The sequence below is a fragment of the Homo sapiens genome, chromosome 16 (assembly GCF_000001405.40).
Source record: "Homo sapiens chromosome 16, GRCh38.p14 Primary Assembly".
NCBI lineage: Eukaryota > Metazoa > Chordata > Mammalia > Primates > Hominidae > Homo > Homo sapiens.
Genome location: NC_000016.10, coordinates 5,310,174 through 5,329,240, shown reverse-complemented (window position 1 = coordinate 5,329,240; position 19,067 = coordinate 5,310,174). Strand labels below are relative to the sequence as shown.

At 45.5% G+C, this 19,067-nt stretch overlaps 1 protein-coding gene across 4 annotated transcripts in view, besides 1 other annotated feature; it reads right to left on the bottom strand.

The window, feature by feature from the left end:
* Positions 1-19,067, bottom strand: part of RBFOX1 (RNA binding fox-1 homolog 1) — a 2,473,620-nt gene that overhangs the window by 2,384,100 nt on the left and 70,453 nt on the right. The window lies entirely within an intron of this gene.
* Positions 6,359-7,558: an enhancer, noted in NCBI's record as "CDK7 strongly-dependent group 2 enhancer chr16:5371684-5372883 (GRCh37/hg19 assembly coordinates)". NCBI's record gives its function as "activates an origin of replication core promoter dependent on BRD2, BRD4, P300/CBP, MED14 and CDK7 cofactors, with strong dependence on CDK7, by STARR-seq in HCT116 cells {active_cell/tissue: HCT116}" and the evidence as "EXISTENCE:reporter gene assay evidence [ECO:0000049][PMID:35650434]".

Genomic DNA, 19,067 nt, shown 5'->3' with positions numbered 1-19,067 from the left:
ACCTCTTTTCTTAATAAATTACCCAGTGTCAGGTATTTCTTTAAAGCAGTGCAAGAACAAACTAATACGGTTTTCAACTTTAGTTACATAACCTTTGTGAACTTCAGTTTCCATTTATAAATGGAAATAATAACGGAAACTACTCCATGGGATTCGTGAGAATCAAATAAAACAATATATGTAAAACTTTCAGCATGGTGCCTGGCTACATTTTAGCTGTTGTTATTAAATAATATTAATAAGCTAGCTTAGACCAAGAGACAGATTTATGAGAAATAAAGTATTCGGAAGCATCTCCTGGAAACTAAGGGTAGGAATAGCATCAAGGGTACTCAGGAACTGGGTAGGACCCGGAATCAAGGCAGCCTAATGGTTAATTTCCCTGTCTGGGGCCATGAGTTCTCCCTTCTCTTTGTGAATTTCACATTCTCGTGGCTGATTCTTGCATGTAAAAATCTGATTGGCTGAGCTTGAATCGGATGGCCACTTTTGGGCCAATCAGCTGTGTCCAGGGGGTGGGCTTAAATGGTCCACTGGCAGCTCCGCAGGAGGCTGGGACCAAAAAGGGTATGGCAGGGCTGGAGAGCATCTCATTAGATCTTCCACGTGCAGACAGGCATGGGGCTTGGTGGACCTCATAAAAGGTATGTTTCATTGACTCAAATGACCCAGAAGAAGCTCTGCCTCTGTGTCTGGGACATTAGCAATGCTTTGTCATCGAGGCTGAGTTATTCTTGAAGGCATTCCATCAGTTTGCTAGGGCAAGCATAACAAAATCACACAGACTAGGTGGCTTAAATTACAGAAATGTACTTCCTCACAATTCTGTAGGCTAGAAGTCCCAGATCAACGTGTTGGTAGATTTGATTTTTTTCTAAGGTCAGAGCGTCTCCTGGCTTGCAGACAGCCTTTCCTCTATGCATGCATCCTTGCAGTCTCTTCGTGTGTCAAAATCCCCTCTTATAAAAACGCTGATCAGATTGGATTAGGGGCCCCTTTAAAAGCCTTATTTAACTTAATTGCTTCTTTACAAGTTCCATCTCCAAGTAAGTCATATTCAGAGGTACTGGTAGTTAGGGCTTCAACATATGAATTTGCAGGGACACAATTCAGCCCATAACAGGCACAAAAGGGCTTTCATTTTGCCCAAGAAATCCACGTCTCCTGGTGCCTGGACTCCTAAGCAACATGGGGGCTGCATTTGTTTTAGGACTTTCAGTCACTACACGGGGTCTTCAGCTCTTCCAAAATACCTCTCCTTTTCTCCTGGGATTCTCCTCACTCGTAGAAATAATCAGAGAAACAATATGGAAAGCCAGAAAGGGATACAACCATTTTTAAGCCTTACTTCCCATCCCTCCCAGACCACAGAACCATTCAGCTTACAAAGAGATGTTTTAACTATGGATGAGTCTGCTGGTGGCTTTACAAGGGGTACTAACAGGAAAATTATCTTTGTGTAATTCATTTTCGCTTGGCTTAATGAGGTAAGAGACTCTCATTTTGCAAAGTAGGGCAGCTCACTGCTGAGGCCAGGGAATCGGGGAGGGGGATGCTGCTACATTCTGTTTCCAAAGTTAGGAAGCTCTGGCCCTTGGCATGTAGTGGGGAAGTAGGGGAGGATGTTTGCCAACCAGGGTACCAGAAACCTATTGTGCAGATTGGGGCGTTTCTCTCTGAGGGCTAAAATTAAGCAGCAGCTGCTGCAAAGTTAACATTTGCAAGTTTCAAAGTCAGGCAGTGTCAAGACTTGAACGAGTGAACACGCTTTTAATTGGACCCAGTTTTAGACGATTTTGATCATTTCCTGGGACTGAAAGCATGCATCCTATTTTAAACTTGCATTCTTAAGAGAGTGGTCCTTAAACTTCAGGGTGCTTCACAATTACCAGGGAAGTTTGTGGGCTACACAGATTCCCCAAGGCTTCTCTCCAGGGATACAGACTCAATAGAGAGGCAGGGACATGGGGCAGGGTCCCATTCAGCAGATTGGTGCAGGGTCTGGCCAGTTTCACAGGTCTCCACGGCATTTTGATGCAGGGGATCTACACACCAAATTTTTGGAATCTCCAGGTGAAAACCTATTCAATGATCACTCAGAAACTGCCATTCCCAGTTGTTCCATAAATAATAAGTATTCAGCTCCTCGGTCAGAACTACCGATCTCCTTGTTCTACTTTACTTTTCCCATAGCATTTTCTGGCTTTCTAACAAAATCTAATGATCAATACCTCCCTGAAGCAGAACTTCTGCTTTACAAAGAACGGATGTTTGTGTTTTGTTTGCTGTTTACCCTCAGTTCCTAGGACAGTGCCTGGCTCGATATTGGACAAATGAATTAATGAATTAATATCCTGAGCTCGTGCTGGGCTTTCTGCTGAGATATAATATCAATCATTTGGACGTCTGATATTAAAATGGAATTAGCAGATAGTGCCTAGCAGGCAGAAGGCTTTCTGATATGTTCCCTCCTCCATTCATTGCCAGACATCATCATCATCAAGGCTGCCAGGTTTTGAATTAACAGCCACCGCTTAAAAATGTTTCTCTTTTTAATTGGAACGGATAACCTCTGCTAAATAAAGATGCCTACAGATCTTGGATGAGTCACAGCCCTCTGAAATCTAGCTAGGAAAAATGAAGAACATCTGCTTTCCATGTTCTGTGATAATGAAGTCTAGAATGGGCAGGGAGTGCATCGTACCAGGGCACACACACTCTGGTCACAGCCTATCTGAAATGCCAGAGCTCAGAAGAGGTTATTATTGAGCAAATGAATGCAACAGAAACACTGTTCTCCTGAACTCTCCCCAGCCTCAAGTGTATGGATGGGGCTCAAAATAGTAGAAGGGGACTTGGACATGTATTTTATTATTTTTTGGTGCTCACATGACCTTTGAGTAAACCTCTGAGTCTGTTTGGTGGGGAGAATTACCTGGCTCCCACATACATCCGAAAGCTGTTAGTTTGAGGCTCTGCTAGCCACATTGGCTCTCTGAATTTACAATATCCCACCTATAGAAGGAGGGTAAGTATTGCAAAATAGAAAAGGTTAAACAGGTTACAAGATCCTAGGACATGCCTATCAGAATGGCTAAATTAAAAATGCTGACGATACCAAGTGCTGACAAGGATGTGGAGCAACTGGAACTCTCATACACTGCTGTCTGACGGGAGTGTAAAAACTCTGATGCCAAACTCTTATATAAGTATGTAAGCTAAATTATATAATGCCAAGCTGTTTAAAGACACGTAAATACTCCAGTAAGCACAATAGGACCTAGCATTTCCATTTCTAGGTATTTACCCTTAAGAAATGAAAACTTATGTTTAAACAAAAACCTGTTCATGAATGTGTACAGAAGCTCTATTTCAAATTGCCAAAAACGGAAAACAAACTCAAATATCCCTCAGAGGGTGAATGGATAAACAAACTGCAGTATATCCATACAATGGAATACTAGTCTAAAGGGACTAACTATTGGTACACACAACCACTTGTGTGATGCTCAAGACATTACACTAAAGGAAAGCAGCTAGTCTGAAAAGGTTGCATACTACATGGTTTCATTTATAGGACATTCTTGAAAAAACAAAACTATAGGGACAAAGAACAGATGAGTGGATCATCAGTGGGGCAGGATATGACTTCAGAGGGCTATCACAGGGTAGTGTTTGGGGGTGGATGGAGCTGTTCTTTACCCTGACTATAGTGATAGATATGCAAATCTATATATGTGTTAAAATTCATAGAACCGTACATCCAAAAAACGGCAATTTTACTGTACGTTAATTTAAAAATAAAATTAAAAACAAATGTGGTAGAAAATTTACTGGATTGAACTAAATTTAGTTTTCACACAACTGTGCAGGAATAGGATCTTGTCAAAGAAAAGTAAATGCAGATACAAAGGACAAGTGAGTCTCGTGTTTCCATGTGTCAGAGCCATGCCTGTAAACCTGCAGCTATTACAAGTAGTTGGGGAAAGGAAAAAAGAGGTGACAAACAGGGAGGAGACAAGAAGAGGGAAGGGGAAGAGAGAAAAGAGGAAGAGAAGAAGGGCCAAGCACACAGGAGGGAGAGAAAGGGAAGGTGTTGTAGAGCAGCGCTTCTTAAGCGTCAGTGAGTGTGTAAACCACCTGTTCCAATGCAGGTACTTTTTTTAACTTTTAAGTTTAGCGGCTCATGTGCAGGTTTGTCACATAGGTAGACTTCTGTTTGTTGTACAGATTTCACCCAAATACTGTATCTTGCTGATAGATCTGGGAACACCTGCCCATCACCAGGGTTCTGTGGCCAGCTGGCTGAGTGTCCCTGTGACAAAGACTGGGGATAAATGGGTTTGGCAGTGTAGTACCACTAAGTCTAGTAAATGATAGTTATTTTCTCCAATCTTCTCCCTCTTCCTTCCCTCCCATTATCCACCCTCCACCCTTCCAGAGGCCCCAATGTCAGTTGTTCCCCTCTATGTGTCCGTGAGTTCATCATTTAGCTCCCACTTATAAGTGAGAACAAGTGGTATTTGGTTTTCTATTCTTGTGTTAGTTTGCTAAGGATAATGGCCTCTAGCTCCATCTATGTTCCTGCAAAGGACATGATTTCGTTCTTTGTATGGCTGCGTAACATTTCATGGTATATATGGACCACATTTTCTTTATCCAATCTACCACTGATGGGCACTGAGGTTGATTCCATGTCTTTGCTATTGTGAATACTGATAATGTAGGTTCTAATAAGGTTTGGGGCAGGGCTAGGATTGTGTATTTTATTTTATTTTGAGACAGAGTTTCACTCTGTCACCCAGGCTGGAGTGCAGTGTCGTGATCTTGGCTCACTGCAACCTCTGCCTCCTGGGTTCAAGTGATTCTCCTGCCTCAGCCTCCTGAGTAGCTGGGATTACAGGCGTGCACCACCATGCCCAGCTAATTTTTGCATTTTTAGTAGAGATGGGGTTTCACCATGTTGGCCGGGCTGGTTTCGAACTCCTGACTTCAAGTGATCCACCTGCCTTGGCCTCCCCAAGTGCTGGGATTACAGGCATGAGCCACAGCACCCAGCAGAATTCTCTATTTCCAAGGAGCTTCCAGGTGATGCCCGTGCTGCTGATCCAGCCCCCACCCCCTCCCCCAACACTAGGAGGAGGCAGGTGCTGGGCAGAAGCACTGGCAAACACTTTGCAAAGAGACACAACACTAAAAGAGACTCATGTGATGCCCATCTGAGACAGTGTAGGGGAAAGCACTTTCAAAATCATTAAGCACTATACACGTGTAATATGACAGCTCACCAAAAATAACATCGTCTCTGTCAGAATTACAAAACTCAGTTCCTAATTAAGGGATTTCCCATTGTCCCTGCCATCACAACGCTGCTGAACCCATTTATCCCCAGTCTATGTTACAGGGACACTCAGCCAGTTGGCACAGAACCCTGGTGATGGGCAGATGTTCACAGAACTATCAGTAAGGCCAACCGTCACAGCTGTGTAGGAATCGGTTTTGTTGAAGATGAATTCAAGAAATGCCAGAGCTCATCAGCTGGCTTTTGAAGCCCGGGTTAGCTTATTAACATATAAATAACTAAGTTTTACTTTTCAGAGCTTCCAGCACATCCATGCTAATGAAGCTATTGCTTTAAAAGTCGATCTCTTCTGAAATGTCTAATTAATCTGACGCTAGCAAAGGTGCACAGAGCAATGCATCTGCAGAGCCCAGTGGGGCAGAGACAATGAGGCAAGGCCGCTGATGCAGGGCCAGATGTTTCAGATGCCAGAGAACCCACGTAATTAACATGAGCAAGGCTGGAGGCCAGGGTCACCGCAGCAGAGTTTTTCGAACTGCGGGTCACGACCCATTCATGGGTCATGAAATCAATTCGTTGGGTCATCATGACCAGCCATGCTTTTTGGTAAAATGGTAAAAGAGGAAGGGGAGGAGAAAGGAAAGAAAGAATGTGCATCGCCCATAGTAAAGGTAAGCACTGTGAGAAAGCCACACATTCCACCCATCTGTACATTTTACTCATAGGTACTGAGTCGGCAAGAAATGCATTTCTCTTAATATGTACGCATACAGCACTTTGTCATATGTCCAGACTGTGCTAAGCATTTTCAAAGCATTAAATCACTTGATCCTTATCAGGGAGATGTTCCCATTGCATTTTGCAGGTGAGGAAACTGAGGCACAGAGAGGCAGAATGACTTATCCAAGGAGATCCAGCTAGGGAGTGGGGAGTCAGGTCTGACTTTGAAGCCCACACTCATCTACACAACTCCATGCCCCCAGGACCTCAGACTCTGAGGACAAAAGAAGTTCTGGAGACAAAACCACCCATTCATGCCGGAAGAGAAACCACTGAAAACAATCAGTATGACAGGTGAGTGATTACTGCTCTGCTAAGTGCCCTAAGTGCATTATAACATTTAACTCTCAAAATAAGTAGAATAAGGTAGGTACACTGAAACCTTCTATTTTTCACATTGTAAACTGTGGGTCAGAGAAAGAAAATGATACATTAGAAGTCGCATGACTCATAAGGAGATTACTGGGGGAGGTGTCATAGGAACCACGGGATTTGAGCTGACCCTTGAAGGATGGGGAAGACTGGGGGCTCCAGTGTCCCCTTGCTCTAAGAGAACAAAAGGGCTTGAGCAAGAGGATTCTCACACCTACATCAGTTCAATCTGATTTGGAGACCTAGTCTTGCCGGAGGATTAAAGAAGATGATCCCCAAGAAAGGACGGATGCCATCATGAGAAACTGGCAGCCACAGAGGCTAACAGTGCACCTCTGGCCATGCCCAGGGCACCCGGCTCAGCACCCAGACCAAAAGGCTCATCCTACCCCAAACCCCTAGGCGTGCACACACACAAGCCAGTTCCTAGAACATCTCTGCTGTCCCCCAGCCCCAGGAGCAGGCAGGTTGAGTGAGGAATGTATCTGAGAGGCAGTCTGAGAAATCCTCAGCCATCTACCCTTGGGCTTACTTAAAAGCTTTCTATTGCTTCTAGTTTTGTGTTTATTACGTTTTTCTCTCAGAAGCTCCCAGAACTGGAAGGAACCCAAGTAGCTTTCTGTTAAGAGCCAAGCAAGACCTGGAAAATATGACTCAGAGCTTGAGCTTTGGAATCAGATGCGTCAGGGTTCAGGTCCCGGTTATATTTTTGAGGCCTTGTGAAACATGCTAAAGCCCCCTAAGCCTCAGCTTCTTCATCTGTAGGATGGAGACACTCTAGTATCTACCACAGATGGTTAGATCTGAAGGTGAGACGAGAGGGAGTCTGTAAAGGACACATCAGGGTAGCAAGAGAGCAATGAGCAATCAGTGCCCCGTAAGGCCGTGCAGCAAGGTGTGGGTCCCTGCTCTGTGCTACAGAGGTCACCTTGGATGAAGACAGGCTCAGAATCTTCTCCCCAGACTCTGGTCGTCATGAGAGTCACAGACGCCACACGCCGTGCACATTCTCTTCTGTTGCCAGCAATCCAGGTTTCCATTTACTCAAACCACCACCAGTAGCCCCAGGTGTGGAAGGAGGAAGATGGACCATGACGGCCACCACCACTTCCCCTATCTACTGCAGAATCACCCACCCAGAACCTAGTGGCTTTAAAAATGTGATCTCTTGGCCAGGCGCTGTGGCTCACGCCTGTAATCCCAGCACTTTGCGCCAACATGGGCGGATCACGAGGTCAGGAGATCGAGACCATCCTGGCTAACACAGTGAAAACCCGTCTCTACTAAAAATACAAAAAAATTAGCCAGGCATGGTGGTGGGCGCCTGTAGTCCCAGCTACTCGGGAGGCTGAGGCAGGATAATGGCATGAACCCAGGAGGCGGAGCTGGCAGTAAGCTGAGACTTCGCCACTGCACTCCAGCCTGGGTGACAAAGCGAGACTCCATCTCAAAAAAAAAAACAAAAGTTATCTCTTATATCTCATGTTTTAGTACAGTAATGATCATCCAGTGTCAATTTTGCTTCTCACTCCCACCCCTCAGGAGACATTCAACGTCTGGAGACATTTTTAGTTGGTGGTATTACTGGCATCTAGTGGGGAGAGGCCAGAGATGCTGTTCAGCATCCCACAATGCCCAGGACCTGAATGTCTATAGTACTGAGCTTGGGAAACTGGGTCCAGCTAAAATGTATTCAGTCTCCAGTGCTTGGATGCAAACAGTACAGTTTCCCTGAGACCTAAGTCCAAGAGAAACTCAGGACCAGCAGCAGCAACACGTGGAAATAAAAGCATCTGACTATAGACAGAAGAGCCCCAGGACAGCTGTTCTGTGGGCAGAGGGCAGCCCACAGCCAGGGTCAGCCAGAGGCAGGGCCGCCCCTGGGGCAACAGCAGGAGACAGAATGTAATGGTGGGTTCAGCTGCGCACACACAGCCCAGAACCCCCTCGTGCCTAGGGCTTCCTGGAAACTCCCTGGAGCCCCCAGCTCTCTCTACTCAGACCATGGAGCTTCAAGTTGTGGTCCCGATATCAAGGGTGGCCAGGAAACCCTACTGCAGACTCCAAGCCACCTCCTGAAAATCAGTCACACAAGAAGATTCCCGTGGCTACACCTGCCTGAGCACATCATCTCTACAAGCTCTCCTCTCCTGAGATTCAGAACAAAAGCATGTTAGGAGAACTTCTCTCTGAAGATGCATTGCACAGATCAGGCAGCAGAAAACATGGCAGCTCTGTGTCTGTGAGACTTGATGAATTTTATGGAGACTCCGGAGCCTTCTAAAAGACTTCTAAGTAAAATAAAACCAAGTCCTTCGAGGGTCTTGTTCTTGGACTTACTGTTTTCTATTCTGAGCTTTTGTAAACTCCAGCAAAACGCTAAACTCACTCATCACAATCTCTCCTGCTCCCTGCTCAAATGCTGGAGTACCCTGATCCATACCCATGTACTTCCCAACTCTGCACCTTTGTCTAGAGTTATGACCTCACCCATTCTTAGCTCATTAAATTTTACTTTTCCTTCAAGATACAGTTCAAGCACCATTTCTCCCATAAGCCCTTCTCAACTACCAGAATGAGCTAAGTGATTTTTCTCTGTGCCTCCATAAACCTGGTTACACGCACACCTATGCACATAAACACATGTTCATACCTATGGCACACCTATTGGACCTGTGCACACCTATGGCAAAAAGAGAACACAGCCATGTGTTTGCCAAACCCCACTTGCTTTACCTCCTGGGCACATAGCTAAACTACATTTCCCAGCCTCCCTTGTAGTAAGGTCAGGCCATGTGACTGCACCCGGGCCACCAAAATGTTGGAAGATGTGATATATGCCCCTCACAGAGATGACCCATGAAAACCTTCTGCACTCTCTCCTTCCCTCTCTGCTGGGTGGATACAGAGAGTCTAGGAGGGAACACCAGGACCCAGAGCATGATGTAGTCACAGAGTTGAAGGAGCCTGGATCCCTGAATGACTGTGTGGAAAGCCATCCAACCAGCATCTACCATAAACTGTCTTGTGGACAACAAACTTCTATTGTGGAAGTTACTGAGATTTTAGAGTTGTGATTGCAGCCTCTAGTGTGACTTTCCCTATCTAATAAAATAAGTCTGTCTTTGAACTTAATATATGACACTGAAACGGTCAGTCTTTCCCCACCAGGCTGGGAACCCATCCAAGACAAGGTCCACGTGGCCTGGATTGTCCCTGGGCCCTAGCACCCAGCTCAAAGACTGACATTGGCGCTCAGTAAAGGATTCTTGGAGATGGCTCCTGAGACTCCCAGATGGAAGATCATCTTCTAGGGATGAAAACAGCCCTGGAGTGGCTATGGCTGGAAAAGAAGGGAATGAAAAGACCAGTGGGAGGGCAGACAGTCAGAGACCACTAGAACAGGGCTGTGAACCAAAGACAAATTCAGAGCAAACTCCAAGGGCAGTGACTAGCTTAGGAGTGAATGCTTGGCTCCTAGTCATCCATCAGCCAGGGACCACTCTCAGCTTCTACAGGTCACTCATAGTCCTTACCACATGGCCCTCTCCATCACAAGTGGGTCAAGTACTTATGCTTCGAATCTCTGACCTATTCTGCAATAAGAGAAAACTCTCTGGTTTTTTATGTTTTTTTGTTTGTTTGTTTGTTTGTTTGTTTGAGACAGAGTCTTACTCTGTTGCCCAGGCTGGAGTGCAGTGGCGTGATCTCGGCTCACCGCAACCTCCACCTGCCAGGTTCAAGCAATTCTCCTGCCTCAGCCTCCCAAGTAGCTGGGACTACAGGCGCACGCCACCATGCCCAGCTAATTTTTTGTATTTTTAGTAGAGATGGGGTTTCACCATGCTGACCAGGCTGAAAGTCCTAACCTCATCATCTGCCCGCCTCAGCCTCCCAAAGTGCTTGGATTACAGGCATGAGCCACCATGCCCAACCCCAACTCTCTGCTTTTAAAGGGCTCACGCAATTAGGTCAGGCCCACCTGGAATATCTCCCTATGTTAAGGTCAGCCAAACTGAGACCTTAATATCTGCAAATCCCTTTAGAGCAGTACCTAAGTTACCGTTTGGATAACTGGGACAAAGTGTACACATCAGGGCTGAGAATCTTGAGGGACCATCTTAGAAGTCTGTCTACCACAAGGAGGAACCCTGGGCTCCATATGATAAAGTGTTTTGTTTTGTTTTTTTGTTTGTTTTTTTGGTATAAGTCAATGCAAATAGGTTGCTCTTATTTCTAACTCAATAATTCCAAGCAATCCACAGAGTGCAGGGAGGGGACAGGCATCATTTACTCTTAGTGGGCAAACATGAGAAGGCAAATTCATGGGTAACGGCTGGATTAGATATCAGTAGATGTGCTGGGCATGGTGGCTTATGCCTGTAATCCCAGCCCTTTGGGAGGCCAAGGTGGGTGCATCACTTGAGGTCAGGAGTTTGAGACCAGCCTGGCCGATATGGCAAAACCCCATTTCTACTAAAAATACAAAAATCAGCCGGGTGTGGTGGTGAATGCCTGTAATCCCACCTACTTGGGATACTGAGGAACAAGAATCGCTTGAACCTGGGAGGTGGAGGTTGCAGTGAGCCGAGATCGTGTCACTGCACTCCAGCCTGGGTGACACAGTGAGACACTGTCTTAAAAATAATAATAAAAAAAAACAGTAGGTGTAAACAACCTGTTAAAGTGTCTTAGCAGGAGACACTTTAACTCAAACCTACAGACATCCACTCTTTCACTTCCATGCTGAAGGCCCACAGCTCCCTTCCTGCACCTGCATTCCCCTGCCTCTTCAGCAGCAGCATTTAGAGGCAGAAAGTAGAACAGAGGTTACCAGACACTAGGAACAGGGGAAATGAGAAGTTATTGCTTAGGATATAGAGTTTCTGTTTAGGAAGATGATAAAAATTTTGTAAATAAATAGTGGTAGCTGTCACACAACAGTATGAAGGTGCTTCACGCCACTGAATTGTAAACTTAAAATGGTTTAAATGGCAAATATTATGTTATATATACTTAACTACAATTTTACAAGAAGAAACGCAAAGCAATGCCTGATCACGAGAAGAAACAAAAGAAAACAAACATTTCTTGAGTAATTGTCAGGCACTGAATGAGGCACTTTCAGGGATGCTTTTTTCTTTTTCTTTTTGTTCGCTTTTTTTTGTTTTTCACTTCAAGACAGAGTCTCAGTCTTTCGCCCAGGCTGGAGTGCAACGGCGTGATCTCAGCTCACTGCAAACTCCACCTCCCAGATTCAAGCGATTCTCGTTCCTCAGTCTCCTAAGTAGCTGAGATTGCAGGCGTGCGCCACCACGCCCAACTAATTTTTTGTATTTTTAGTAGAGACAGGGTTTCACCATGTTGGCCAGGCTGGCTTGAACCCCTGGCCTCAAGTGATCAGCCCACCTCAGCCTCCTAAACTGCTGGGATTACAGATATTAGCCACTGCGCCTGGCCAGGAATGTGTTTTTATTTAATCTTCACAGTAGATATGCAGACTAGGTGATTTTGTCAGGGTTGTCTAGAGAGACAGAACCAATAGAAAATACACATACATATATCGAGAGATTGAGAGAGAGAGAGAGAGAAGAAAGGATTTATTAAGGGAATTGGTTCACTCATTTATAAAGGCTGAGAAGACTCACAACAGGCTGTCTACATGCTGGAAAACCAGGGAAGATGGTAGTGTGGCTCAGTCCAAGTCCAAAGGCCTGAGAGCCCAGGAGGCTATCGGTGCAAGTCCCAGAGCCCAAAGGCTCCAGAACCTGGAGTTCTGAAATCCAAGGGCAGGAAAATATGGGCATCCCAGCTCCTCCAGAAGAGACATAGTAAGAGTTCACCCTTCCTTTACCTTTTTGTTCCTCTGAGACCCCAGCCAATTGGACTCTGCCCACCCATATAAAGGAGGAATCTTCCCCACTCAGTGCACCGGCTCACCTGCCAATCTCCTCCAGCAACACCCTCAGAGATGCACCTGCGGCGGCCCAATTATCCTAAGTGAATGCCAAACCACCTGGGTTTCCCTTTCAGCAGAAGAGAGATGGACTCAGTGTGTTGAGAATAATTAATGCAATGGTTTAGAATACAAAGTGCTTCACCAGCTATCTGGGTATCCCCTAATTAGTCAAGTTGACACCCAAAATCAACAATCACAGTAGGTATTCTTATTCTAGTTTTTACAGATGAGAAAAATGAGGCTCAGCAACGTGGCTAAGTAATGTGCCCAATGTCCCCCAGTTATTGGTACATGGCAGAGTCAGAAATCAAGCACGTTTATCGTTGTGGAGGGGGTGTTCTCATAGCAATGGAGGAGAGTATTCAGAAGCCTCTGGCCTCAAGCTGCTCCACGCCAACCATCTCCACCTATTCACTGGAGACTGCCCATGTTCTGGGCAGTGTGCTGGGCACTAGACACACAGGCACACAGTTGAGCAAAGACAAACTTGGCCATCACATTATAGAAGGTGCAATGCCACACTGAGGCAAGTGTCTTGAGGAAATGCAATAAGGATATCTGAGAAGGCACAGATCTTTCCCTAGCCTGTTGAGTCACAAAAAGCATCTGAGGGAAGTTGTGCTCGATTAGAGATGTGAAGAATGAACACGAGTTAACTAGGTAAAGGAGGAAAAGTGGGAGAATACCAGGCAAAAGGCCACACATGCAAAGGCCCTGTGGCAGGGGAGTGTGGTTTGCTGGGAGCGGAAAAGCAGCCAATGTATGGCTGAGAGCAGAGACAGCAAGGAGAGGAGTAGGGCGGGGGAGGTCTCTGGTAGTGGGAGGAGACCTACTGTAGGTGGAACTTGAGACCACAGGGGTCAGGTGGCACCTGTCAAAAGTTCTGTCTTATGCGCTACCAGGTGACTCTCCAAAGACAGGCCTATGAGAATGTATGATGAGTCTGATACTCTGGCATCAGGGTGCGTCTACAGGCTCTAGACAATGTGAGCACAGAGGTGGACATCCCAGCATGCCCACCCTATGTGTTCTTCACCAAAGGGAGAAGAGCTCACCTTCTTCCCAGCCTTCAGAAGGGAGCAATGCAGGACTGAGACTCCCATAATGACCTTCCTGGTGCTCTTACGCACAGCACTCACCAGCAAAGCAAATTTAAAATGGCTTAAATTAATTCCTTGCAAACGCACTTTCTGTACGTGACAAACAGGGTCCCTGCTACACAAACATCAGGCATAATTGTGATTCTTGTCCCCTGCCTCTTTGCCTGGCCCCTGAAATGAAGGGGAGCCCTCCCAGCTCAAAACACCTGCAGAGACAGCTTGGGGTGCAGCTACGCAGACCCCGTTCCCCGGGAGCTGCTCCAAGAAACTCCAGACTCAGGAACTGAGTAAAATCACAGCAGTACCCTTTTTCACTGTTGATTTAGATCCTGCAAGATATGAATTCTAAGCACATCCCTGTCTCCATTTAATCACCGGTGATTACGTGGCCTGTGGGGCAATAATAGTGGAATTAAACATGGAAATGCTAATTTTGACTTAAGACATTTCACCTGGACAGACGGACGGCCTCCTCCCCCGTCCCACAGCAGATGGGCCTCATCGAACCTTCCTCTCTGGCATCTTCCCTCCGGTACAGAGCCATTTGCCCTATCAGCCCACAGACTCCACCAACAACGTGATCTGTACATTTCACTTTATGCGTCTTCCAAATGGTTCCATCATGATTCATAAGGCTCCAGAACTAAAATAAATTTCCAAGGCAGATAAACTGGTTCCTCTGAACAGCTGGCACAAGGGCATCTCACAGAGGCCCCCAATGCCCTTTCCAGGGTCACGTTATGACTTCTGTGGTCCTCGGGCACTTTCACTTTTGTGGGCTCCTTTCCTCCATTAAAAAAAATTCAAAACGGTATTTTTTGTCTGTGTTGTTATAAAGACATATATATCACTACTTGAAGTTTTTTCTTTGACCTGAAAGTTCTTTTTTTTTTTTTTTCCAATATCTTCTGGTTTTAAAAGAAATGAGGCCAGGTGTGGTGACTCATGCCTCAAATCTCAGCACTTTGAGAGGCCAAAGCAGGAGGATTGCTTGAGTCTAGAAGTTCAAGGCCAGCCTAGGCAACATAACAAGACCGTGTCTCTACAAAAAATGAAAAAATTAGCTGGGCATGGTGGTGCATGCCTGTAGTCCCAGCTACTAGGGAGGCTGAGAAAGGAGGATCACTTCAGCCCAGGAGATCAAGGCCGCAGTGAGCTGTGATTGCACCACTGCACGCCAGCCTGGGCAACAGAGTGAGATCCAGTCTCAAAAAAGAAAAAATGAGTAAATAAAAGAAATGAAAGCATTTTCATGAGTCACTGTGCCTGCTGCACCTAGTGAAGCGGTCAGCCCTGGTGCTGCTTCTCCCAGATCCCTCAAGAGAAGGACAGAGGCTGTTCACAGCAGCTCCAGAGGCAGAGCTCACCTGTGCCATGGGGCACGGGTCTACCACTCCCCCTCTCCACACTCCACATTTCCCTAACAAACAACAGCTACACATCCACACAAAGGCTGGTTATCTGTTGGGTCTGCAATACATGCATTCGCAAGTTGGGTTGCCTAAGCTTAGACTCCAACTCCATCCAATACCCACTGCATGACCTGGGCCAAGTGACTTATTTTTTTCCTTGTATGCAAGTGGGGATAGATAATACAGCACCCAGCTCATCAGATTGTCAAGAGGGTCTCATGAGATAAAACTTGGAAAGTGCTGCATAAATGTTAGCTCACATTATGCGATCATTATTATTATTTATTACTATTATTACGTGTTGTTCTTTGGACCCCTCTTGAGAATGTGATGGAAGCTACAACCTTACCCAGAGAAAGGACACACAAAACATCCCATACATTTCATGGGAGCTCAGGCTATCACCACCCACCCACCCACAGCCTCCAAAGCCCACCCATAAGTCTTTGAAATGGTTTGGCTGTGTCCCCAATCCAAATCTCATCTTTGATTGTAATTCCCACCATTCCCACGTGTTGTGGGAGGGACCTAGTGGGAGGTAACTGAATCATGGGGGCCAGTCTTTCTCATGCTGTTCTCGCAATAGTGAATAAGTCTCAGGAGATCTGATGGTTTTAAAAAGAGGAGTTCCCCTACACAAACTCTCTCTCTTTGTCTGCCGCCATCCATGTAAGACATAGCCTTGCTCCTCCTTGCCTTCCACCGTGACTGTGAGGCCTCCCCAGCCATGTGGAACTGTAAGTCCATTAAACCTCTTTCTCTTCCCAGTCTCGGGTAAGTCTTTATCAGCAGCATGAATATGGACTAATACAGTCTTCTTGTAAGTCATGGGTCCCAGATTAAGGAGGTCATATGTAGATGATCCTGTTTGTTCTACAGGAAAGGACCTGGTGAATAACATAAGCCACTTCCAGACTAACCTCCCAAAGACACAGCAATGGCACTAATGCTAGGAGTCACATCACTGTGGGGAAAGCCATATCTAGAGCTGTCTTGTCACCTGGTCCTTGCTCTCCTCATCAACTGCCATGATTTGAGACCTCCCAGAGGACTTTGGAGAGGGGGAATTAGAGGTCCTAAGGGTTGCAGCAAATGGAGCAATTTGCCCTGCTTCAACAGGCTGTGCATGACTTTGAGTAATGAGCATCCCTGCCCGGGCTTTCCTTCTCCCATCTTTAAAGTGGGGGCAACGGTATCCACCTTGCAGGGTGGCTGTGAAGACAAAATCAAACAGTTCACAGAAAGCGCCCAGGACAGCACATGGCACAAAATGGAATTACATCTCATCACTGAGCCTGCCATTCTCAGTGGTGTGCCTGGAAAAAAAAGGCACTAAGCATCATTAAACAAATAAGCGCCTACTGCTGCTCATGCTGAAGCAAGCCAAACAGAGGCACCATGTGAGAGGCAGCAAGACTGCAAATCAGATCCTGCAATCTGCAGTGTCCGCCTCTCTATTCTGGGCTCATATCTGAAGACATTCTTTGGTTGTCTCTGTCCAAGGATCTTACGAAGCTTCACACAGGTCCCTCATGCATCTGCAGCATCAGCCACTATAGGTGATGAGTGATGTTGAGAATTTTTTCCTATGTTTGTTGGTCATTTGTATGTCTTCTTTTGAGAATTGTCTGTCTCTTGGGTGTCCTCAGAACTCCTAGATGAGCCTAATGGATCCCATATCATCTATAATTTAAGACATGTCACCAAGCATGGTGGCTCACACCTGTAATCCCAGCACTTTGGGAGGCTGAGGCAGGTGGATCATGAGGTCAGGAGTTCAAGACCAGCCTGGCCAAGATGGTGAAACCCCGTCTCTACTAAAAACCACAAAATTTAGTGGTCACGGGCAGGCACCTGTAATCCCAGCTACTCAGGAGGCTGAGGCAGGAGAATCACTTGAACCCGGGCAGCAGAGGTGGCAGTGAGCCACGAACGTGCCACTGCACTCCAGCCTGAGTGACAGAGCAAGACTCCATCTCAAAAAAGAAAAGAAAAAGGAAAAAGACATGTCTTCCCAGTTGGGAGAAATTCCGCCCTAAGTTTCAACAGCCCTGGAGGATACCTCCCTACATGTTCTCAGTTGTGCTTCAGAGACCCTCTTTCACCCGAAGTAAGCTTCACTCACAACAATGGCCTATATATGACCAGAGTGTCCCAAACACGCATTCCATGTTAGTAAAGTCTACCTGGCTATTCTCATGCAATGAAATAGCAAACCGACCCTTTGCATAATACATATGGGGTTTCATTCATGCAGCCCCTCCTGAGCCCCTTCTAGGTATTAGGTGCTATCTGAAGCACTGGGAAATTCAGGCATTAATAGAACATGGCCTTTGCTCTTGCAAGGCTCATGATTTACTGGGGAGGATGGATTTGCCCACAGATTATTACAGCACCGTAACAAGGAGCAAGTGACCATGGGAGTCAAGAGAAGGAACAATGTCAGAGCTACTTCCCAGGCACAACTGGGGCTTGCTGAAGCTGCATCTAGATTGACAGCAACAAGAGGCCAACGCATCTGTAATTATTCCCTACTAAGAGTGTAATTTGAAATCAGCAAGAAAAAGACATCATCCCATCGAAAAGTGGACAAATGACATGAATAGACATTTCTCAAAAGAAGATATACAAATGACCAACAAACATAGGAAAAAATTCTCAACATAACTCATCATCAGGGAAAGCAAAATAAAACCACAATGAGATACACCTTACTCCAGCAAGAATGATTATTATTAAAAAGTCAGAAGAAAGAGATGTTGGCATGGATGTGGTGAAAACAGAACGCTTATACACTGCTGGTGGGAAAGTAAATTACTACAACCTTTATGGAAAACAGTATGGAGATATCTTAAAGAACTAAATGTAGATCTATCACTCAATTCAGCAATCCCACTACTGGGTACCCACCCAAAAGAGAAGTCATGATAGCAAGAAGACACCTGCATACATATGTTTATTGCAGCACAGTTCACAATTGCAAAGATATGGAACCAACCTATGTGCCCATTGACCACTGAGTGAAAAAAGAAAATGTGATATTAATATATATGTGTGTGTATATGTGTGTGATATATGTGATATGTATGTATGTACATACATACAAACATACCGTGGAATACTACTCAGCCATAAAAAAGAATGAAATAATGTCTTTTGCAGCAACTTGGATGGAGCTAGAGGCCATTATTCTAAGTGAAGTAACTCAGGAATGGGAAACCAAATACTGCATGTTCTCACTTACAAGTGGAATCTAAGCTATGGGTACATAAAGGCATACAGAGTGGTATCACAGACAATGAAGACTCAGAAGCAGGGGTAGTGGGGGTGAGGAATAAGAAACTACATACTGGGTACACTGTACACTACTCAGGTGATAGGTGCACTAAAATCTCAGACTTCACTTCTACACAATTCACCTAGGTGACCAAAAACCACTTAGACTCCAAAAGCTATTGAAATTTTTAAAAATTTTAAAGAAAAGAGTGTACTTCATTTGTACAAACTATACTTTTCCTTCTGAAAAATAATGCAAACCCCAGTATTTTTTCCAAAATAAAGGAAAGAAAAGATGGATGACAGCACAACAAGAAATTAATTTCTCAGGTCTAGCAAGACCCTACTGTTTACAGTGTCACCCCAGCTGAGCACTAACCCTCCTGTTCAAGTTGTTCATAAATTGGGAATCGATTCTAACCTTACAATTGTATGTGGGTGTAGCCTCTGCCCATGAATCTCTAGCCCAGCCAAAATGACCTGGACAGGTACAATTATCACCCCCTCCTCCATATACAGATGAGGAAACAGAGACTCAGAAATGCTGAATACTGTGCCTGAGTTCACTATACCTGGAAAATGTTGAAGCTGGGATTCTAACATACCTGCCTAATTCCAAAGTCCATACTTTTTTTTTTTGAGACAGAGTCTGGCTCTGTCACCCAGGGTGGAGTACAGTGGCATGATCTCGGCTCACTGCAACCTCCTCCTCCTGAGTTCAAGCAATTCTCTGCCTCAGCCTCCTGAGTATCTGGGACTACAGGTGTGCACTACTATGCCCAGCTAATTTTTGTATTTTTTGTAGAGACAGGGTTTCCCCATGTTGGCCAGGCAGCTGGTCTCAAACTCCTGCCCTCGAGTGATCC